We start from the raw sequence: 18,917 nt of genomic DNA, 5'->3' as shown, positions 1-18,917 counted from the left end.
CCTGGCCTCTAGTGATCCTCCTGTCTCAGCCTCCCAAGCTGCTGGGATTACAGGAGTGAGCTACTGCCGTTTTTTTGTTTGTTTGTTTGTTTTTTGTAAAGATTTAAAGAGGGTCCATGTTAGCTGTTCAGTGTTAGTAAGAGGGCTCTGTAGATTTACATGCCTCTGGATCACATGGAGGACTCCTTTAAACATAGCCGGCTGGACCTCACCCCAGATGTTTGCATTCGGTGGGCCTGGGCAGGGCTATGGATGCTGGTGGTGCTGGTGTGGGGACCACACTCTGAGAAGCCCTGCCTTATTGTGGCTGGGGGTCTTCTCTTGTTAGGGTTTTTTTTTTTTTTTTTAATGTCGTGGGTGACATGAATATAGGGCACCTCTCTCAATGTAATGTTTACTGTCATTTCATGATTACTTGTGCAAATATCGTAGACATTTACTTTTTTTACAAAAAGCAGTGATGATGGAAATTTCCGAGTTACTTCCTGTGTTCTCTTGCTCTGAGTCTGTGCGACTCTGGCGTCTGACCCAAATTAGAGATGGTAATTGAGTCACTGGTGACTGTGGATGTCTGTGATCATTAGGATATTGACTGTCATGCAAGGAATCGAATTTACCCCAAATGTTCAGCCACCTCATCAGATTTTCCATAAACTTGATGTTGGTATTTAAGAGAGGCAGGAGGAGTTGTGGTTTTGAGCCTGGCCTCTGCCTGGTTCAGATCCCAGCTCTGCTACCTTGAGTACAGCCTGGGCAATTTACTTGTCCTCATGTTTCCATTTCCTGATCTGTGGATTGAAGGTAATAGAATGAGGTAAAGGGCCCAGAACTCATAATAAATGCCCCATCATCATTGGCTGTGTTGTTCTTGTTTCAGTGCCCCCAGCACCTTTTGATGTCAGAGAGGGCCCTGGAAGTCCTCCGTGGTGGTGTTTGGGAAGAGAGCTCCCCGAAGCGAATGGTTCTCAAAGGGTGATCCCAGACCACAGCATCAGCAAAACCTGGGAAGGTATGAGGAATGCACATTCTCAGCTTCCTCGGGGTCCTTCTGGGTCAGAATCTCTGAGGTGATGCCGAGCATCTGTGATGTGGCAAGCCTTCCGGAGATTCTGACACACGCTTAATTTTGAGAACCACTGATCTGAGTCTTGGTGGGCAGCACCTGAGACAGGAGGGCATGGATGACACCTGAGAGACGGGAGGGCTCAACTCTACTGGCCGTATGTGTGTGCATGGTGTGGGGTGGTCGGGGAGGTCAGTGTGGGGAGGATCTTTGCATGCTCAGGAAAGCCAGGTGCCCAGCAGCTGTGTAAGTAACCAGGGGGCCAGCACTGCACAGGCCCTTGCCTGCCACCAGCCCTACTGACATTCTTCCTAGAACAAGCATGACGCATGGCTTTTCTAGCACATGGAATCCTGGTCACACCACTGCTGACAGAAGAGGCTTCTGATAAAGGCCATTTCTCCCTTCCGTTTCTCCCCGAGCACCTCCTGCATCCTATCTCATCGTGGGCCCGCGTCTGCCTTCCTGTTCTCGAATCGCTGAGGCAGGAGTCATGGCCCAGCACTATTTTCCCTCTTCCAGTGGCATTCTGGGGTTTTATTCCGTGAACATAATTACCTTGTTTTTCTTCTTAAGCCAATTCAGCTTATTCATGCCTCTTCCCTCATGTTCCCACTGCCTTTCTCTTGTTTGGTTGCACAATATTCCAGATATTTTCTATTGTCTCCTCTACCCCGTGGTTACAAAATCAAACAGGACAAAACAGCTGTGCATAGGCTGTGGAGGGGGCGCCTTGGGAGAAGCTGGGATGGCCCCTTCCTTTCCACCCTGGCTCAGCTGCTGATGGAATGGAAGGTTTCCCGGAGAGGCAGCAGTCAGAGGAGTGGTCGGGGAGTCCCTGGGGCTGCCTTACGGGCTGGTTGCAGCGTTTCCTCTGCCACAGAGCTGCGAATGCCAAGGTAAACATATGTTTTGAGATAAAGTGGAAACCCCAGGAGGTTTTCATCCTAGAAGAGGAAGCAATAAGACAGTCACGTGTTGGACCAAGGAGTCGTTTTCCCCCAAACCCAGCTTTGCGCACCCTGTGTGGGAAAGTTGGAGGGAATTGGAAAAGCAGGGATTATGGATGGGGCCAATGAGACAGGTCACAGAGTGCAAGAAGGGGCTTGAAGAGGCAGCTGGCTCTGCTCCTTCCCAGTACATGACTGTGGGCCCGTATCCTTCATCTTCCTTACTGGTAGCATCAGGACTGGACTACCATATGCCAGGCGGTGTCCTGGGGATCAAATGTGGAACGAACGTAAAGCATTTGGCACAGTGCCTGTCTGCCTCGTGGAAAACGGTGGCTGCGAGTTTTATTAGCTCTTTCTAGTAGTCGACTGGCTGTTGTACTGTCTTTGTTTCTGAAGGTGCCCGATACACACTTCTAATCCATCTGCAATGCCTGTCCACTCCACCTTCAAAATATATTCCCGATCAGACCTCTTTGAACCACACCGGCCATTCCTCCCACGGTCCAGGCCTGTGCTGCCCTTGCCTGCTGGGTCTCCTCCCTGCCACGGAGCTTCCTCTTCAACAGTTTTTTCTTACATGACAGGCAGAGGGTTACTTTTAAGCCCCAAACCAGATCCTGTGGGTTCCCTGCTCAGAATCTTCTAACAGCTTCTGAAGACACTTAAGATAGAACTGACAGAACAGTAGGGCGCCCAGGACATGTGGCCCAGGGTTCTCCTGCCAACCTCTCTTCCTGGTGCTCACTCCCGGGAAGCCACCTCTGCCTCAGCCTCCTCCTTCCCTTGCCAGGCTCGCCTCCATCTCCAGCTTGGCACCCATAATCTTCCTGGGCCCGGCACACTCTCCCCCTGACATCTCCATAACTCGCTCTCTTCCCACCGTTAGGTCTCTGTTCAAGAGCATCTCCTCAGAGAGACAGAAGCGGCCTCTCCATTTAGTTTTCAGTTATTGCTGGACATTGCGTGTTTCTCTGTCCTTTGCCTGTGTGATGGGAACACAGACCCAGCATCTTCACGCCCCCACTGTGTTCCCATCGACTGCACATGAGAGATGCAATGAGTTTTATTAATACAACTGATTTCACTAATCAAAACATTTAAACATATTTTTCGAGCTAATAAAACTTGCCCATCTGCCCTGTAATGGTATTTGGAGAGATGAAGGACTCAGGACACAGTGCTAGGGAATTTCCAGTTCCGTTTGTGACTCCTGTTGACCATCTTAAAAAACGGCGACTTATATGACTTTTCAGTGAGTTAATCTTCTGTATTTTTTTTTTTTTTGAGATGGAGTTTCACTCTTGTTGCCCAGGCTGGAGTGCCATAGCGCAATCTTGGCTCACTGCAACCTCTGCCTCCTGGGTTCAAGCGATTCTCCTGCCTCAGCATCCTGAGTACCTGGGGTTACAGGCGTCCGTCCCCACGCCCGACTCATTTTTTGTCTTTTTAGTAGAGACGGGATTTCACCATGTTGGACAGACTAGTCTGGAGCTCCTGACCTCAGGTGATCCACCATCCTTAGCCTCCCAAAGTGCTAGGATTATAGGCGTGAGCCACCGCGCCTGGCCTCTTCTGTACCATTTAACACCCTTTTTTATCTGTGCAGTAGGTAGAGGAACCTCAGATTCAACCCATATTTACTGAATACCTCAATACTCTCCCTTTAAAAACTGACATGGGGCAGTGGACCTTGGAGATTCACGGCGTCCCTCCTCTGGGGTGGAGTGTGAGATGGCCTCTGCCTGTGAGACCTGCTGCAGTGGAATCGATCTGCGCCGCCTCCAACCGAGACCTGAAGACGCAAATTCCATGGTGTCAGTGTGAAGAACTGTGAGGAGGCAGTGAGAGGAGGGCCTGGGCAGGGTGTCCCGCATGGGCCAAATGGCCAAGTCACTCCTGCTATTCAGGAAACAGGCTTGGTGGGGTCACATAACTTGTCCACTGACACAGGAAGACTTCAGTTCTGGTGACTTGGTGTCCTGCACTTACCGCCAGAGCCCTTTGTGGCTGCCCAGCGTGAGACCTTCGTTGCCATCAAAAGGAGGGGAAGGGAATAGCCGATTGGGCATCTACGTCCCACCAGCGTGTTTCATGTTAAGAAGAAGGTGGGTTTACTGGGAGGATGTGTCACCTCTCTGCATGACTTGATGTGAGTCTGGGAACACCAAGTGTTCATTCCATGTCTGGCACTATTTTCATCTCCATCAGGCTTTCAGAGCCCAGGGATGATGGGTCGATACCCGGGACTTGAACCTCACATCTGCCTTGAGGGGAAGGAGAGGAGTTGGGGAGGTGCTGGCAGGGGGAAGCCCACCTCCCACCCTGGCTCCATGCTGCAGGCAGGTGTCCTGCCCGGGTGGATTGGCTTCCGCTGCTAGGCCAGGGTTAGCCTAGTTCTGGTGAGGAAAGTTCTCCATTCTGAGCCTTGTAATGAAATCTAGAGCTGCCTCTGGCCAGGTATCCCCAACCCAACCCAATTTTTCTGCCTATCTCATTGGAAGTGTCAATTTCTTTATTACTTCAGCTGAGGGAAAACAGGTCTTGACACTAAGACAATTCAAGTGGGGGCAAGGTCGCCGTGATTCATTTTTGTTACTCTGTTGAGTTCTAGAGTAAGTATAATTCACAAGTAAAATGAAGGTTCAGGAATTAGATGTGGAGACTAAGGACGATGCCAAGATTTATTCTATGTCTGTGCTCAGCCTAAATTGGGCTCAAAAGGAAGAAAAAGGATGAGGAATTACTACACATTATTCGCTTCTCCTGAGGATGACGGTAAGATGACCTAATACAATCAGGGGCGAATCTGAGGCCAGAAAATGCATACCCAAAGCTCAGAAGGAGGCAACAGACCATTGAGACCCTTTTGGACAAGACTGAGTGAGTTCAAGAAAAACCGGCACCTGACCAGCCAAGTAGGTGATTCCAAACTCACTCCTGCCCTGAGAACCCTTGGACACACCAGGAAATTACACATTGTGTGACATCAGCTTGGGAGAAGGCCTTTTTATCCCAAGTCTGATCAGCTTCTGTAACACTTAGAAAAAGGATTTGATTACAGGCGGTCAGTGGAGAAGGAAACAGATCACCATCAGTAACTGGCCAGGATTCTTTTCTTCCTCATTCATGGTCCCTGTCAGGCCAGCGAATGGGAGGTGCTGATGTTCCTGTGGGAAGGCAGTTATCCCCTGTGGATTCCAGTGGCTGGTTTATGAAATAAGAAGCTTATGCACACTGGGAATTGTCTTTAATGAAATGAGAATTAGCCAGAGAGTTAGACATAGGGGTCATTGCCAAGAGGAATTAACACTGAAGCCTCAATTAAAATTTCCACTGGATTATCTGATAAGTAGTTGTGCCTTTGGTATTTTATTGTCTTTGACAAATGGCATGAGTTCAGAATTTGAAGCAACGTAGGCCATAACATAACACGGTCCTGAAAATAATGAGGCACACCATTGCTAGATACAAAGTACTTAAATTCCCTGATGGAAGTATTTATTTTAAAGACTGCTTTGGATTATCTTCCTCCCAGGATGTGCAGGCGCTCTCTCTGTGTTCTGATGGGGTTGCCAACTTCACAATTCCTTTTGGTGCCAACAGAGTTCTCAGCACCAGGTGGAAAGGGTGGCTGCCTTCCAAGACATACCTTGCTTTATTGCTAATCCCTCTGTCTCCTCCCCCCGTGGGCTGTTCTTGTCCCCTGGCTGCTGGGAGACAGAGTGATGGCTTCCTAATTGGGTCCCCAGGCAGTCCCAACACCTGTTTCAGGAGGTGTTTGGTATCAACAGTGGACATGTTTCCGAAGCTAGGTGTGTGTGTGTTTAAATTCATTTTTATAATTTTGTTTCTTCCAAGCATTGTCGTTACCCACTATTGGTGCCTTCATTTAAACAATAAATGCTTTCATTCAAAATGCAATACTTCCTAAGCTTTTGCTGAGTGATCAAACCCGAAAAAAGTGTTAAATGCCAGTCACTCCCATCTCAACCCAGTGGTCAGGCCTGAGATAGCTGTTATGAAGATGCCTCAGGACAATTAGACTTTTCAGGAACTTTTCGGCTATGATGCCATTGCAATTTGCAGACCATCCCAGTCTAACCCCGTTTCCTCCACCCCTTGCTCTCCTTGCACCATTGCTGGCCTCAGATCCCTCCCTGCTGTGAGGTTTGGAATTAGCTCGTGTGTCTATGGCATGGATGACTTCTCCTCCAACTCTGTACCAGCCAGCATCTGGAAAGAGTTATACACAGGAATCTGTTACTATCTAGCCTGCCCTCAGCCCTGGATGCGCATCTGATGTGGAGACCCACTGGACGCTCTGTAGAATGTGGAGTTCTCTTTGAAGGTACCACAAAGATAGGGGTCTGCAAGTGTGGCTTTCGTGCACCGCGGGTGTCATTCGTGACGTGTTTGTGCTCTTCTGCAAGCCCAAACTGCGGAGAAAGTTTAACTGAGAAAACCACTTATTCTGAGTTGTCTTCTCAGTTAATATGCCCCTGGTTATGTTTAAGTGCCCGGTGTTGGTTATGCTCGTGCAGCTTGGCCAGGAAACTTCTAGGACTTCAGCATGGGATGGGTGGTTGGCAGTGGGGGCAGAGTGAGTTGGAGCTAGTTGATGTGCTGTGGGTGCATCCTCCTTAGCTGTGAGGGAGGCCAACACAGGCAGGCTTTCCCTGCACTGATCATCTCAGGTGACTGTGTGGCAATTTCCTGCTGGTCAGGGAAGGTGCTGTGGCCTTTCATCTTGGCTCTGTGTCCACCTGCTCACTGGAGCTCCATACTTCACCACTGCAAGAGAGTTGCCCTTGCGTTCTCTGTCTACACTTCAAAGGAAGATGTTTGCATTTGGTCAGGGAGAGGGAACTTTGCAGTTAGTTCTCCTGAGGCTCTGTGGGTGTTTTGTTGTGGGAGGAGGCGTGTCAGCATCTTCAACGGATCATGTGACCTTTGAGTGGTTGCCTCTGGGACATCATATGATTCTTTGAGGTCAACAGAGGGTGGATCCTTTGGACTGCAGCCAGGAGACTGGGTCCTTTTTAGTTTAGCGGGACCAGCCTTGCTGTGGTTCTCAGTCCAGAGAGAAGACTTCCTGAATGTGAAGTGAGCATCCAGGTCAACAGGCAGAACCACTGTGCGTCATAGAACAGAAGCCACTGAAATAAGAGTGATTGTCCCATGGACCAAGACATCAGCAGAGATTTGTAAGGCAGGAATTTGCAAGGGAAGGCATCAGCAACACTCATGTTTCACGTCAGAGTTGCAGGGCAGGATATTAGATAAGAGGCCTGGGAGTCCAGTCAATGGTCACTTCTGTCAATGTGGGGAGGGGGTGGGGAGAGCTACCTAGGAGGGAGAGTGATTCATAGCCTGAAACCATCTTTGCGTCCTATTTGCAAGCTGTTGGGTTGTGCAGGACTTAAAGCTGTGCTGGCTCCTCAGCACCTGCAGTGTCAGTGGTGAGCTACTCTGTTGGGGTCTTCAGGGATACTCCATAAGAACCATCTTCCCCTCCCAGGCTTGGAACCAGTGGTAGTCACAGTGTCTGTGAGCATTACTACCAAGGAAGCTGATTGGAGAAGGGGGCCCAAATGTCACTGAATGTTTCACCTTAGAATGATCCAATTTGCTCCCTGAAATTTAACGGAAGCACTATCCAACTTCTCTTCTGCAACTGTCACAGACAGGACCGCAGGGCAATGGCCCCCTCGTAGAGGCAGGTGACACTGTGGGTGGTGAGCCCACCACAGGGCCCCATCCTCCCACAGGTAGGCAGGGAGAGCTGGGGTTGGGGGGCTAGTGAGCAGGCCAGCTCCTTCCCCCAGACCATTGGACAGACAAGTCACCTGCCCTTGCCAGGCAGAGCATTGCTGTGGCAGACCTCACTCTGCATGGAAACACGAGGGGTAGAGAATAGGAGTTCTCCAAGAGCATGCCAAGTGTGGCATTTGACGTTTCATGCCCTCACCTGCCTGTGTCTGTTCAGCGCTCTCTCGTGGTCTCTCACATGTCCACTTGGGCTGGGTCTGTGTCCTCATCCTGCCCTAAATGTACCTGCTCACTCTCACCCTCGAGTTTTCCTTTTCTCCTCGGTCCAGTCCCTCTTTCAGTTAGTTCATTAATGCACTAATTGATCAATAATGAATTCAGCAGTGTTCATGAGCCTCTGTACCTGTCAGGCTTTGCGTATGGTACCAGTATTATAGTGATGTGCAAAGCAGATGAGATTCCTGCCTTCAGAACACTTACAGTCTAATCAGAGTGACAGGCATAAAAGAACTTGTCATACAAATAGATATGATGATAAACTGGGCCAGGTTTCTTGAATGCAGAGGTCACGCGCTGGATGGTGTCAAAGTAGACTGTTCTGAGGCCTTTCGGAGATGGTAACATCAAGGCTAGGATCCGAACTGTGAGAAGGAGTCAGCCATGTAAAGATTTCGGGAAAGAGCGTGTAGGTGAGGAGATGGCCCCTTCTGAAAGCCTTGAAGCAAGAAAGAGTTTGGAGCATTTGAGGAACATGAAGGAGGCCCAGTAGTGAGAAATAAGGCAGGGCTGTATCTGCAGGGCCTTGAGGGCTCCACAAAGCGTCGTGGATTTTATCTGAGTGTCGGGATTCATCATCAAAGAGCTATGGGCAGATGACGTGGCCATGTTTACTGCAGTGGGAGCAAGGTCAGGAATGAAAGCCGTTGCTCTAAGATAACAGTGGGTTTGGAAGGTATTGCTAGTTGTGGACTTAGCAGCCATGCCCCTCTCTTATACATTGCTGGGCTGTGTGCCCACCCTCAGGTGATGAAGCCGGTCACGACAGTCCATTCCTTTTCCTGGATAATCACTTACCTGGTCTCCCTTGCAGCAGTGGCTGTGCAATCCCACGTAGCCCAGGGAAATCTAAGCAAAGGCCTGCTGGCAGCCTCAGAGAAAGGTTTTCCACCCTGGGAAGCTACTGTGTGAGGACAGTGCTTAGGGCTTCTGCAGCTGTCTTGGGACCATGAGGGAAAGGCCAGGAGGACCACAGATCTGTCCATCCAGCGATGTGCCATCACTGGGCTGCCTGATCAATCCAGGGCCGCCTGCCTCTCCAGACTTCTGTGTTGAGCAATGGTGTCTCGTCTCTGATTAAACCATTGTTTTCTATTACTTGCGGCCAAGTGTACAGTCATTTAGGGGAGATAAAGAAAAGTGGGTGGATCTGAGATCTCCATATTGACATGACTTAGTAATGAATTGGAGGTGGAATGGGGAGGATTGGAGGGGGTAGTGAGGATTTCTGATGTGGGTGGGAAAGACAGAGGATCTCAGTTTTGCTCCCAGCAGAACAGACAGTGGTTATTTGGGTTGAGGTGAACCCACTTTGATTTGGAGCTGGGCCTGAGTCAGAGGTTTGACTTTAGCCTGTGAGAAATCCAGGTGGAAGTGTTCAGGAGATGGTTGAAACACAGATCTGGATTTGAACAGCGAGATCTGGCTGAGGGGGCACTCGGGGTTCATCAGTGCTCAGAGGTGGGGCCTGAGGCTGTGGGTAGGGTTTCATCATGGTGGGAGGGAGGAGAGCCAGGAGAGGCCCAGGTGGGAACAGCTACTGCTTTTCTTATTCTGCCCAGGATCTTTATTTTAGTCTCTTTTGAAATGATGGACGTCATATATTTGTCACTTAATTGCATCAAATCACAAATATTAGGCTGACTCACATGAAATTGTCATTTTTCTAGATCAGAACAGTTGATTATTAGCAATTGTGTAGGACTCAACCTAATAGCTGTTGTTACCAACTGTGTACCAGATACTGTATTAGATCAAACCAACCAATGAATTCTCACTTATTTTCTGTTTAAATTTAATCCCATCACTCCCATGTATAAAACTCACCATTGGTTTCTCTGCATCCACAAGGTAAAATGCCAACCGAGATCATCCTCTGAGGTCTTTTATGGTCCATCTCCACCCATGTTTGCTGAAAGCCCCTGCACTCTCCTTTCCAGGCATATCAAGCCCAGATCTGCAAATGCAGTGAGAGAGTTACAGGATTTCTCCAGAATCCCATTTCCACTCGGTGTCTAGTCTTGGCCTCTGCATGTGTCCATATCACGAGTTCAGTTTCACGGAAAAGCCTCTCTTCACTTCGTGGTCTGGATGTGGATGGTATACAGTTGTGCTTCTGATTGTATTATGGTCCCTCAAAACCACATCTGATTATGTGCCTGGACATTTGGGGTTTCAGGCCTGAAGGGCCAAGCCTCCTTTTCCCCCGGCTGACTCCTGCTTATCTTTGGAGGCGTAACTCATGTCATGACTGCTGGGTAGTCTGTGGCCTCCCTGGGAACTCCAAGGACCCAGATCCTCCACTGTCTTGGAACCTCTCTGGCTGGGCTGACATCACCCTGGAGCAGCACCCAGAACACAGACCATGACTGCTCTGAGGACGGAATGGCACAGAGGCCATGACTGCTGTAAGGACTGAATGGGCACAGAGGCCGTGACTGCTGTAAGGACTGAATGGCACAGAGACCGTGACTGCTGTAAGGACTGAATGGGCACAGAGACCGTGACTGCTGTAAGGACTGAATGGGCACAGAGGCTGTGACTGCTATAAGGACTGAATGGCACAGAGGCTATGACTGCTATAAGGACTGAATGGCACAGAGGCTATGACTGCTATAAGGACTGAATGGCACAGAGACCGTGACTGCTGTAAGGACTGAATGGCACAGAGACCGTGACTGCTGTAAGGACTGAATGGCGCAGAGGCCGTGACTGCTGTAAGGACTGAATGGCACAGAGACCGTGACTGCTGTAAGGACAGAGTGGGCACAGAGGCCGTGACTGCTGTAAGGACAGAATGGGACAGAGGCTATGACTGCTATAAGGACTGAATGGCACAGAGACCATGACTGCTCTAAGGACTGAATGGGCACAGAGACCGTGACTGCTGTAAGGACTGAATGGGCACAGAGACCGTGACTGCTGTAAGGACTGAATGGCACAGAGACCGTGACTGCTGTAAGGACTGAATGGCACAGAGACCGTGACTGCTGTGAGGACTGAATGGCACAGAGACCGTGACTGCTATAAGGACTGCATGGCACAGAGGCCGTGACTGCTGTAAGGACTGAATGGCACAGAGACCGTGACTGCTGTAAGGACTGCATGAATGGGCACAGAGGCCGTGACTGCTTAAGGACTGCATGAATGGCTGCTGCTGGGGTTTCTTTCTGAACCATCGGGGAAGCTCCCCCAAGTCCCCTTTGTCCCCTCTTGGGTCCTAGTTTGAGCCATGTGCTGGCACTCAGTTATTTTAACGAAACCATATACATTTTTGACATGACAGAGGAATGATTTGTATGTTCTTCCCCAACTCTTAAAAAAAGAATTAAAAAGGATCTTTTAGCCCTTTTATAAAATCTTTGCTATGTTCCTCAGAAGGCTTTTACCAAGATGGTTAAGTATGTTTCCAATCTTGGAGCAATAGCAGCTGCATGTTTTGCTGCAACTGGAGGAAAGTATATTTCTTGTGGAATTCAGCCTACAAAGGCAGGTTCCCCATGGCCGTGAAATTGGTGGTGAGTAACAGGGAGGACTTGGTTCTAGCAAGGCAGTGATGAGCAAGGCAGCCTCGTGGATCCATGACACATCCAGGGGCTCATTACTTCTGGGTGCTCATGGGTCCAGATGGAATGCAGGTGGTTAAGTCTGTGGGGTTCTTGAAGTTGCCTGACAAGCTTCGCAGCTTCCTTTGCTGCTTCTACCCTTAAAACCTGTGGGTGGCCCTGTTTTGACAAAGAGTAGGACTGTTGAGAGCCTTGGGGTTGGCCCCGGAGGCTCTCTCTGGAAGTGGAGGGATTCCCCTTTCCTAGAATGTCAATGCCTGGTGCGGTCAGTGCAGGACAAAGAGTGTTCTGTGTCTCTGTAAGGCTGCTTGGGAGATGTAATCCTAGGAGAAGGTTACAGCAGATCAGAGAGAGTACTGGGGAAGCAGTGACCTTTCCTCGCCTTTGCACTGGGGGTGAAGAACGAGGACCTTATAATAAAGGAGAATATTTTGCCTCTGCACAATGGCAAGCGTTTTCACTCTCAAACCAAATCCCTTTTGAGGTTTTTTTGTTTTCTCTTTGAAATCTTGTGATGACTGAGTAATTTATGATGTAGTAACCTTGTCTGTATCTCAATTCTTTTACCCTTGTAAACATCTGCTGCAAAAATCACAAATGGCTGGCTGCAAAGGAGGAAGTTACCGCCCACCAAAGCCTCCCCATCCTGTTCCCTCTCCCTCCCTGGTATATCTGTACCCCCCACCCTCCTGTACTCACTGCACTTAGACAATTGCATTTGCTCTGTCTCTGCTCTGTAATCGCCAAGTACACTCCAAAGGCGGTGGGCAGTGTGGACATCCCCACCATGATGGTTAATACCGAGTGTCAACTTGACTGGATTGAAGGATACAGAATATTAATCCTGGGTGTGTCTGTGTGGGTGTTGGCAAAAGAGATTAACATTTGGGTCAGGGGGCTGGGGAAGGCAGATCCACCCTTAATCTGGTGGGCACAATCTAATCAGCTTCCAGTGAATATAAAGCAATAAGAAAAACGTGAAAAGGAGAGATGGGCCAAGCCTCCCAGCCTACGTCTTTCTCCCATGCTGGATGCTTCCTGCCATTGAACACTGGACTCCAAGTTCTTCAGCTTCGGGACTCGGACTGCTTCTCCTTGCTCCTCAGCTTGCAGACAGCCTATTGGGGGACCTTGTGAATGTATAAGTTAATACTTAATAAACTCCATATATATACACACATATATACACACACACACATATATATACACCCACACAGACACACCCAGGATATATATATGTGTGTGTGTATATATATATACACATACATGTGTATATATACACTATATGTATATACATATATACATGTATATATACACATATATGTGTGTGTGTCTGTGGGTGTGTGTGTGTGAAGTTCTATCTCTCTAAGAAAACCCTAATACACGCACATATGTGGGCCACCAGGACAAGAGTCACTGTGATTCTCATTCATCTCCTCTTCTCAGAGTGAGTCCCTGCCTTCTTTGCCCTGCTCCTGGCTTCCTGGGAAGGCAATATCCAGCTTCTGCCCCCGTGAGATGAGCTCAGGGCCAGTATAGAGAGAGAGAGCACTTTGAAACATGGTTATATACTTCATGCAGAAGTAGCAAACTAGTTACTCAGGCTGCATCTGGTCTCAAACATGTTTTGTTTAATATTTTCTTATTAGTCTTCTAATACTGAAAAAAAAGAGTCAGTGCTTTTTCCTAAGAAAGGAAACAACTGACTCTTTGGTGGCTTTGGAAAAATCTGGCACCTCCAGGCGCACATCCCCACGTGGCAGCAGTGAGCTGGAGCTAAGGCGTGGCTGTCCCCTTTAGACAGTTTCCAGTTTGCCTTAGTCCCCACCATGTCCTTTTGTCTCCCTCCCCTGATGCTAAGTGACAGGTGCCTCTCGTCCTCACATTGTGCTGTGACTTTCCTTGTGGTGCAGTAAGAGAAAACTGAAATGTTCCTGCACCCGCATCTTTATCAAAAGTGGGAAAATGGAAAATAGGGTGAGAGCGCTGAGTGTTTCAAGGGAAGAAATGTGAAAGCCTAGCTTTCTTCGTAGAATTAAATCCCAGGAAACACCCCTTTGTGATTTGAATGCCAGCAAAGTGTGTCCATGTTAGAAGAACACAATTCAAAAGACCATTGGAAGGGTGCCTGCCTCCCCCTTAGGCTTCCTGCCTGGTCCGTAGCATTCGAGTTGGTCACTCTTACTCTGAAAAGGCCATTTCTTAATGGCAGCCACGTTGGCATCATGGGCGGAACAGTTTCTTGTTGTGCAGGAGTGTCTGCCATACTGCAGAGCGTTGGCCATTTTGGCCTCTGTCCAGGCATGACCCCTCAGTCGTGTAACAACTCCTGCCCCCAATATTTCCAGACTTTTCCGGTGGAGAAGTCCAGCCCTCCAGGGATGTTGGATGGTAGATGTTTGTGTCCTAGGATGGACTGGGCCAGAGGACCTGGCCCCAAGCTGTGTGCTTGGTTCAGGGGGGACACGGAGGCCACCCAGGTGCACATGTTGCCCAGGTTCTGTGTTCTCCCAGTGCAGCACTGAGCCAGTCAGATCTGCCTCATTCCAGGCAGGGCTGCCCGGGTTTTCAGAAGATGCGGCAGAACAAAGCCACGCTTATTTGAATCATGTCTTTCTGTTCAGACGTGCTGTGGCCCCTTTCATCTACGTGGGCTGGCAGGAGCATCTGGTCTGCCCGCCAGCATGGTATTAAGAGCCATCCACAGCCGGATGCCAGGACTTAAGGCAGAGAACTGTCTGCATGAAGCGGCACCTCCTCGGTGCTTACCTGGCACTCTGCTTCCTTTCTGGGATCTATTTTGGTGTCTGTACCACAGTCCACCTTGTTCTGTGTGGATGAGTCTTCCGTAGCTACAAGGAAATAGTCACGTTGCAAATTGCTGGGTTGCAGCTGATCCCGCTCCTGCAGTGGTGAGATCAGACTGCCATGAAAGCACTCTTAAGGCTAAGGCGTGACTTCGTTTAATAAAATGGTTTGCACAAATCCACCTGGTTGACTGGGTCACAGACTGTGTGCCTCTGTGTGATGATGGCCTCGAGGCCCTCAGGTGATGCCTGCACAGCTTCTCAGAGACCCCAGGCGGCCTCCGGCAGAGGTGTCAGCCCGAGAGCAGAAGGAGTGTGCAAGGCCGGGCCAACCCCGAGCACAGGCAGAAGTCAACAAGCAGCCTTATTTCAGGCCCTGTTAAGAGGAGCAGAAGTTCTTGGAAGTAAATGGAATTCTGGATAATTTCACACCAGCTCTCAGACCACCCGGCAAACCTGTCCCAGAGGCACTCTTCATCCATTTACAGAAACAGCCTTCGGGAAGAACTTGAGACCCATGAGAATGACGTGGGAGTTTGCACACGTGCCAAGGCTTCAGCAAGTGGTCATGACTGACTTGGCGTATGGCTGATTTTAGAGCAAGGGAAGACTCATGTATTGTAATTAAAGGGAGGTGGAAGTATATTAGAACTTCCGTTATCTCAGGGCAGAGTTTGTTACTCCAAAAGAACAATAGGTATTATAGCATAAAATTTCCCAACGGCTGACCATTCAGAACAACTTTATTCACATATAGTTTGTACAAATAGTGCAGATTACCACCTTATATGAGTGTATGAGCTGTCCACTACTGTAGCAAAATTTTTTCTCTCCTTAAAACACACACACATATGCTATGCGGGACTCAAGAGTCTACAGGCAGTGAGACAAATTCTGTCACTGTTAAAAAAAAAAAAAGTGAAGTTTATTGGCGTAGCTTTAGTGGGCATTAAACATTTCCAGCATATTTTTGTGTATTTCAAGAGGCTAATTGTGTTATTTAATTGAGAAGATTTGTGAGCATCTTGTAGGTGTCACTGTTTAAAAAAAAAACACATAAGCGTTTGCCCGTCAAACTGGTGGTATTAAATTGGAAATCAGGAAGCATGTTCCCAGTTCCTCAAGAAATTAAACATAGAGTTATTGTATAGGCAGCTGTTTCACTCCTAGGTAGGTACCCAAGAGAATTGGAAACATAGGTCCGTGCAGAAACTTGTACGTGAATAATCACAGTCGCATTATCCGTCATAGTCCCAATGTAGAAACTACCCAAGTGTCCATCAGTTGATGAATGGATGCCTCAGTTGTGGAATATCCATGCAATGGAATGTTATTTGGCAATAAGAAGTACTAACATTACATGCTGTGACATGGATGACCCTTGACAACGTTATGCTAAATGAAAGAAGCCAGTCACAAAAGGCCGCATATCGTGTGATTCCATTAGGTGAAGTGTCCAGAAGAGGCGAGTGCACAGAGACAAAGTAGATTAGTGGGTGCCAGGGGCTCGGGGAGGAGGAAGTGGGCTGTGATCTCACATCTTTCATCACCCTAGCTATAAGAGTGATGAAAATCTTCTCGAATTATGTCATGATGATGGCTGCACAACTTTGAGAAAGTACTAAAACCACTGAAGCATATACTTCAAAGGGGTGAACTTAATGGTGTGTGAATTATATCCTAATACAAAAATAGCGAGGTAGAGCAGATGGGAGAAAATATTATCAGTTGTTACATCTAAGTGGAGGGACTAGAGCTGATCATGTTACTGTTATTTCTACTTTTCTGTGTTTGAATATTTTCACAGTGAAGCGTTCGGGGGAAAGAAGAAAGGTGGCAAAGACAAGAAAAGCATATGCTTCCGCTGCCACCCCACTTAGGATGGATTTATTTCAGTTCAACAAAAAAGACACAGGAGGCGCTGGTGACATCTCGGGCTACTGAATGTTTCCCACTTTTCGAGGGTTAGTCTGACCCTTGCTGGGGAGTGTGCTGGTAGGGACGCCTGACATCGACATGTCTGCTGTCCATTATGAGGAGTGTCTAAGGCCAGACTTTCAGGTTCATGCTCCTTGTTCAATAAATAAATGAGTGGATGGATTGGTGATGAGACTTCATGCATCAGAAGGTACCATGGCGATGCATTAGGAATAGACATGAGCCTAGGATGTGAGGTCTCATTTTCCTTCTCTGCAAAATGGGAATAATAAAATTGTACCCGCCTCATAAAATTGTTGTGGGGTAACAGATGTAAAGTGCTTATTGCGGTTTTTGGCACATATTATTTTAAAACTTGTTATAAAGAATGCTCAGTGGAAAGTAGAAAGGATTAAAGGAAGAAAAGGAACTAGAGGGATGAATGGTTTGTATCTTTTTGCATGAAGGGAGCATGTGGGACTTCTGAATGCTTCCAGGTTTCTAGCATTCCCAGGTCAGATGAAGGGGCCTTTTACTTTTACCCAGAACAGTCAGAATTATTCTTTCCTGCTGTTGTGCTTTCTCCTTGAAGTTGCCATAGATTCTCCTTGTCCATGTGAAGACTTTGAGTGAGCCAACTAGAAGGTGAAATTCCAGGGTCTCTGGATGCGTTAGGAGGCAGTTTGCCTCGAACTGGGATCAAACACTGGGTTTGAGATAGAAGAAGCCCTATCTGAGGACGATAACGCTCTCTGATTATATAGGGATGGGGTTATGAGTGGTGGCGATTTTCCTGTTTTAAGTTCTTCAGTGTTCTTGAGAATATCTACCATGTTATACTCTTATAAGTAGGAAAAAACATTGCTTTTAGGAAAATTTTGACCTTGCATGCTGGATGACATCTTTAAAACTGCTTTTTTGAAGTACAATTTGCATACCATAAAGTTTACCTAAGCTATGTACTAAAGTGGTTTTTAGTATATTTATAGAATTACACAGCCATCACCATAATTTGATTTAGGAACATTTTTATCACCCCAGAAATAAACCCTGTACTCGTTAGAAGTCATTCCACATTTCCTGTCAACACTCTTGTCCCCAAGCACTAGTCACCCACTAAGCTGCCATGGATTTGCCTGTTCTGGACATTTCATCTAAACAGAATCATACAATATGTGGCCTTTTGTGCCTGGCTCTTTTCATTTTTGGCATAATGTTTTCAGGGGTCATCTACGCTTTAACCTGTATCAGAACATCATACTTGTTCTAGCATGTGTCAGAACTTCACTCCTTTTGTTAAATCATATTCCATTGCATATACATGTTTAGAGGTACATATGCATGTGTAGATGGACGTGTGCATGTTCAGGTGGACGTGTGCGTGTTCAGGTGGACGTTTGCGTGTTCAGGTGGACGTGTGCGTGTTTACTTGCTTATCTTTCAGTGATGCGTATTTGAGTTCTTCCCATTTTTTTGATATTGTGAACAATGTTTCCATAAATATTCATGTTTGAGTTTTTATGGGGACACGTTTTCAGTTCTTTCGTATATGTGACTAGGAATGGAATTGCTTGAATCAGATGGTAATTCTAGGTTGAATATTTTGAGACACTGCCAAACGCTTTTCCTATGGGGAGTGTCTACACCGTTTTACATTCCTGTCAGCAGTGTAGGAAGATTCTGTTTTCTCTGCATTCTTGCCAACACCCATCTTTTTGATTATAGTCATTCTGGTGGGTGTGAAGTAGTATCTTATTGTGGTTTTGATTTGCCTTTCTCTAATGGCTGATGTTGAACATATTTTCCCATGCTTATTGACCACACATATTTCTGCTTTGGAAAAATGTCTATTTAGATCATTTGCCCATTCAAAAATTGTGTTTGGTTTTTATTGAGTTGGAATAATTTTTTTTGCTGAGAGGTGGTGTTGGATTCTTCCCAAGAATTTTATTTTTAAATGACAAACCATAATTGTATGTATTTATGGGGTGCAGTATGTTTCAGTACATGTTACATTGTGGAATGATCAAATCAGGCTAGTTAGCATATCTGTCATCTCAAATATTTATAATTTCCTTGTGGTGAGAAAATTTAAAATCGTCTGTTTGGCCGAGTGCAGTGGCTCACGCCTGCAGTCCCAGCCCTTTGGGAGGCTGAGGTGGGCAGATCACTTGAGCCCAGGAGTTTGAGACTAGCCTGGGCAACATGGTGAAACCCTGTATCTACAGAAAATTAGCTGGGCATGGTGGTGTGCACCTGTAGTCCCAGCCACTTGGGAGGCTGAGGTGGGAGGATGCCCTGAGCCCGGGAGGTCAAGGCGGCAGTGAGCACTGATTGTAGCACTGCAGTCCAGCACTTCACAGTGAGACCCTGTTAATCAGTCAATCATTCAGTCATTCCTTTTTTCCTTCCTCTTTTAGCTGTTTTGAAATATATGGTGTACAGACTTGTAAGGATTCTTCATGTATTCTGGGTAAAAGTCACTTACCAGATAGATGATTGGCAAATATCATTTCCCACTGTGGGAACCTTTTCACTTTCTTGATGGTATCTTCCGAAGCATAAA

At 47.4% G+C, this 18,917-nt stretch overlaps 1 protein-coding gene across 15 annotated transcripts in view; it reads left to right on the top strand.

Annotated features, from left to right (window-relative positions):
- Nucleotides 1–18,917, top strand: part of ADAMTS17 (ADAM metallopeptidase with thrombospondin type 1 motif 17) — a 370,539-nt gene that overhangs the window by 105,345 nt on the left and 246,277 nt on the right. For 9 of the 15 annotated variants that reach the window (XR_001751118.2, XR_001751120.2, XR_001751119.2 and 6 more), the window contains exon 8: nucleotides 878–1,009. The exons of 5 other annotated variants lie outside the window; for them this stretch is intronic. Coding sequence is in view for 7 of the 10 variants with exons in the window: in XM_017021975.2 (XP_016877464.1) it covers nucleotides 878–1,009 (132 nt within the window). In the remaining 3 variants the exon portion in view is untranslated. One more of the 15 variants, XM_017021978.2, reaches the window with a different exon arrangement.

The sequence above is a fragment of the Homo sapiens genome, chromosome 15 (assembly GCF_000001405.40).
Source record: "Homo sapiens chromosome 15, GRCh38.p14 Primary Assembly".
Classification (NCBI taxonomy): domain Eukaryota; kingdom Metazoa; phylum Chordata; class Mammalia; order Primates; family Hominidae; genus Homo; species Homo sapiens.
Note: the sequence above shows the minus strand (reverse complement) of the source record. Positions and strands in the feature narration are given on the sequence as shown.